The sequence below is a fragment of the Homo sapiens genome, chromosome 2, assembly GCF_000001405.40.
Source record: "Homo sapiens chromosome 2, GRCh38.p14 Primary Assembly".
In the NCBI taxonomy this organism is placed as follows: Eukaryota; Metazoa; Chordata; class Mammalia; order Primates; family Hominidae; genus Homo; species Homo sapiens.
In genome coordinates, this window is record NC_000002.12 from 193,864,245 (window position 1) to 193,869,488 (window position 5,244).

The following is a 5,244-nucleotide window of genomic DNA, read 5'->3' on the forward strand; positions in this document are numbered from 1 at the left end:
ATCACTCTTGAGAAGTCCTTTGTAACTGTGACCTTTTGGGGTTTCCATAATATTACATTAATTTTTATCACTGCACATGGCACTTTGGTAGGCCATCTTTATTAAAATGCTTCCAAAAACTTTCCCTTCCAGTATTTAGACCCAGTGTAATTTCCTCCTCTGATTATTGGCTGGATTTAGTGAATCATTTCTAATAAATACAATATAGTAAAAGCTATAGCATGGTATATCGGAGATTAGGTTACCAAAAAACTGTGATGTCCAACTTGCTGGCTCTCTCCCTCATTCCTCCACTTGTTCTGTAGGAATTCGGTTGCCATATTGGTGGAGCCCTATGGAGAGGACAACAAGGTAAGGAAATTATGTCTCCAGTCAACATGCAGTGAGGATGTGAGGTCAGCCAATAAACACATGAGAGGCCTTGGAAGTAGATCTAACCATAGTGAAGTTTGAGAAAACTGTAGCCCCACCTGGAAGCTTGATACAGTTCTGTGAGTGACCCTGAGCCAGAGGACCCCTCTAAGCCACATCTGGATGCCTGACTTATAAAAATTGTGAGATAATAAATGTTTTTCTTTTAAGTCATCAAGTTTGGGGGCAAATTGTTACACAGTAATAAGCATCTAATATAGCACTATTACAGGACCTTTTGGGTTTCATTAGAGTCTCATTAACTTCTACAATACTATTTCCTCTTGATAAATAGTATCAATCATTGTACCTATAGTGGTACCTTACTTTTTGATCTGTCATTTAATGGAATAAGCCATAATGCAGTCTTATGTCCCCATTCAATGGAATCATCACTGATATTTGAAGGAAGCTTTCTGATATTAGACGTTAAGATTTAAACTAAAAACTTGAAAAGCTGCCTTAATTTATAATTATTTCTTCTTTTTTTCATCAGATATTACATTTCTAAAGTGTTATCAATATAAATCATTCTCCACAATCTCAGGTATATAAGAAACGTAACTTTATTTTTCCATTTTCAAGTCTAATTCTAATAGAATGATGTAAAATAGACATAGTAGTTTGGTACTTCAAATCATTCCCAGAATTTGTCTCCAAGTTTTCTGCATTATTTTAGTGTCAAAGCATTGGCCAGTGGAGGGATATTATTCTCTAATAATCTGTTTTGCCTAGGTATTAGTTGAACTATTCTTGGCCATTGAGTCCTAGACACTGGTTTTAACAAATTGCTATATCTCTCATTTTTAATCTCCTGACTACATTAGCTACTGAGACTTGGTGCAGTACTACATTTTGTTGCTGGCAGAAACTACCTTGTGTCATTCTGATTTGCTATGACTCCAGATGCTGATCAGATATAGAGCTTGTATAGAGCTATTACTCTTTAATGTAAGTCCTCACTTTCACCATACCTCTCTACTCTACTCCATTTTACTGCACACCTGTTTTCCCAATATGTTATAGACCAAGAAGTAGCTAGCAAGAGGTACAAGATCATTCTCTATATGACAAATCTGTTTTCTTTTTTAAAAAAACCTTTATTGACATACAATCCACATGCCATATTGTGAGCCCACTTAACATGCATGAATCAATAATTTTAATGTATTCAGATGTAACCTGCCATCACAGCAGTCAACTGTACAACATTTTCATCACCTCCAAAAGAAACCCATACCCTTTAGCCATTGCTCCTTTTTCTCTATATCCATTCCACCTTATGCAACAATTACTTTTCTCTCTCTAAATAATTGAAAATATTTTCTTAATTCTGTAAGTTATGGTTTCACTTTCCGAGTACTTTCCACTGAAGCACAGATACGTTTAATTTTGATGAAGTTCAATATATTTATTTTTTGTTACTTATGCCACTTGGTGTCATATCTAAGAATACATTGACAAATCCAAATTCGTGGGGATTTACCCCTACCCTTATATTTTGGTATATAAGTTTTATAATTTTTATTTTACATTTAGATTTTGTACCATTTTAAGTTTTTGATACAGTGTGAGGTAATAATCTCACTTCATTCTTTTGCAGGTGGCTTTCCTATTGCCCCAGTGTTATTTCTTAAAAAGACACTTTTTCCCTATTGAATGCTCTTGGCACCTTTGTCAAAAGTTGGTTGACACACAGTTTTATTTCCAGACTCTCAATTCTATTTTCTTAATCAATGTGTCTACCTAGCTTTTGTTCTTAATGTTGTTCCTCAGACCCATTCTCTAGCTTATGTTGTTATTCTCTGAAGAATTTAACATAATTTTCAGAAATTGACACACTTCTGGAAGAAAAGTAAGGGCTTCCTTTTTGCTCTATAATTATTTGAAATAATTAAGAATGCACTACCTGCTCTAGTGAGTCTGTGAACATGTGTGTGTGTGTGCATCTTTGTGTATCTGTGTCTGTGTGTGTTACATTGGGCAATGAGGAGCTAGACAAAGGAAAAATACCAACTGGAACTATTTCAAAAACAATACCTTGCCACATTATCTGTACATTTTTGTTTTATTTATTTCTTTATTTAGCTTAAGTGTTCTTTTCTTAAATGGCAAGAGAAGCAAAGCAAAGTTTAATTTGTCCTGATATATGTTTTCAGCTCTTTTAGAAAATGTAAAAAAAAAAAATATGTTGGCTGTTTCACTGGAAATGCACAAGGCTCAAGAGTGACATGCAGAAATACATGATTATTTTATCAGTTACTTTTGAAGAAATGACTTTCAGATTGAGGTGATGATCCTGGATCTAAGTCATAAATTAAACGCTTAAAAATACTGCCACTTTATATGGTTAAGGTCACATTTTGTGTAGGACATTTGAGGACTCAGAACCTTAAGGAATTGAGATTTGGGTCAACACACCTAAAAAAAAAAGAAAAGAAAAAAAAAAAAAGAAAAGGTGAAGTTTTGTCTGAAGGACCTTCTTTCTGGGCTGAGGAAGAAAGATGTAACAGATAACAATTATAATCTTAAGACCAATTACAGAAAACAGGGCTCTAGAAACTTTATATATTTTCTCTTTTCTTCTTATGTGTGTATATATTTGAGCATATCATAAATATTTTCTTATCTCTGTTTTCTGTATTAGTTCGTTTTCCTCTAAAGAACTACCTGAGACTGAGTAATTTATAAATCAAGGAGGTTTAATTGACTCAGAGTTGTGCATGGCTGGGAAGGCCTCAGGAAACTTGCAATTATGGTGGAAGGCAGAGAGGAAGCAGTAAGGCACATCTTACATGGCAGCAGGATGCGGGGAGTGCTACAACTTGAGAGCACCAGATCTCGTGAGAACTCACTATTACAAGAACAGCATGGGGAAAACTGCCGCCATGATTCAGTCACCTCCCACTGATGGCAGTGGCAGCCGTCTGGAGTGGCCTCTGTGATGACGACACTTGCAGGAGGCAAGGTACTGCTGCGGCTGCTTGCTCTGTGCATCTGGCAAGAGTTCCGAAGAGGTGAGAGCCCTACCCCCTACCGAGTTGACAGGCGGGAGCCCCACGTTTCTTCATGCAACAGCAGGGACTCAGCTGTGGTCCCGGAACCTGGGTATCTCTGTGCTCTTGGGGACCTGGTAAGTGCCCCCTACTCCTACAGGCTTGGAATTGCCTGCTCACTCTCCCTAGTCTCTCCCTGCTCCCTGCCCCCGGCACCAGCTCTGGTGCAGAACAAAGTTGTGGCCAAGCCCAGGTGTTGACATGACCCAGCCAGGTGTCCGCACACTCAGGGTGGTTCTGACATGCCAGCCCCCCTCCACCTTAGCCTTCTCTGAACTTGGGAACCCACGAGCACATGAGGAAGGCTGATGGGCACTAAGGGTAGATCAACACTGGCCTGTAGGTGCTCCTCTGCACGAACAGCCTGGGTGTCATGGATGGCATGTTAATGGCAGGAGGCAGACAGATTCCTGGGCAGAAAGGGGAGGGTCCCTGGTGAAACCCCACCTTCGAGCCAGGGACAGACTGAAGCCTGAGAGGTGGGCTGCCAGTTCTGGGTGGAGTCTGCAGCCTGAAGTGAGAACTTATGGTGCCTTTTCCAGGTCCACCCATGGCTGCCCATAGACCAATCAGCATGCACTTTCTCCTTTCTGAGCCCATAACATCCCCGGACTCAGCCAGACTCACCATCTGCGGGAAGGAGCTCCCCACTTTGGGTCTCCTCAGTTCTTCCAGATGAGTGTCCTGCAGAAAGGAGATACCCACTCTAGGTCTCCTCACTGCAGAGACCTGGATACTTAACAGGACGACCTGACTGTGGAAAGGAGTTACCCACTTTGGGTCTCCTGAGAGCTGTTCTGTCCCTCACCGAAGCTCCTCTGTGCCTTGCTCACCCTCCAGTTGTCTGCGTACCTCATTCCTCATTGATGTGGAACAAGAACTTGGGACAGGATGAATGGTGGGATTGAAAGAGTGGTAAACAAGCAGGGCTGAAACACACCACTCTGCTTGCCATGTTGTGGATGACAAGAAGGAGAGAATAGCTGCAGCCCTTCGGGAGGCCAGGCACAGGGACTCCCCAAGCCAGGGTTGTGACACCCTCTTTGGGCTCTGCAATTACTTGTGTCTCCAAGCTTCTAGGTTCCACTACGTTCCCCTAGTCCAGATGCGAGTGCCCACAGTGAAAGCCGCATGCAGTACATCTGGTCCAGCCACAGCCTTGCATGGAGCTGGCATCTGTGCTGGGGCCTGTAGCTGCCCGCCCCACCACAGCAACCAGTGTGCCTGGCTGTGCATAGTGGCTGAACCCGCGCTTACTCATGCACACTTCCCTCACTGCTCCATGCCTGACTCGCTGTTGGCAGGCGTGGGAGCTGGGCCAACAGTGTGAGCCAAGTGCAGCCTGCTGAGTCGAGTGGGCAGGAAAATCCCAGTGAGCGTGAGCAATATTCAGGCAGAAGGCACTGCCAGCCACAGAGGTTTCTGGCTGGTGAAATAACACCCCAAGGAGCCCATGACATCACCAGGTCTCTCTCTCAATATGTGGAGATTACAATTTGAGATGAGATTTGGGTGGGGACGCAGAGCCAAACCATATCATTCCTATTATTATTTTATATTAAACTTTTGAAGCTTACTTTACTATTTAGGTAGCAATGCATTTAGTGAGACTGTTCAAATCATTTGATGATAATTGATAAAATATCTTTGGAATTGTGTGCCTTCTCATTTCCAGAAAGTATTGGAAGTTTTTACTTGTACCATGGATAGCTACATCTTGTTACACGGAAACGGAGTGGTTTCATTTTTGTTTGGAAGCTTTAATGTATAAAAATCT

The 5,244-nt window shown here is 41.6% G+C and overlaps 1 annotated feature.

Annotated features, from left to right (window-relative positions):
* Window positions 3,545–4,044: an enhancer, noted in NCBI's record as "H3K4me1 hESC enhancer chr2:194732513-194733012 (GRCh37/hg19 assembly coordinates)". NCBI's record gives its function as "activates a minimal SCP1, AML or CMV promoter by ChIP-STARR-seq in naive H9 embryonic stem cells {active_cell/tissue: H9 hESC(naive)}" and the evidence as "EXISTENCE:reporter gene assay evidence [ECO:0000049][PMID:30033119]".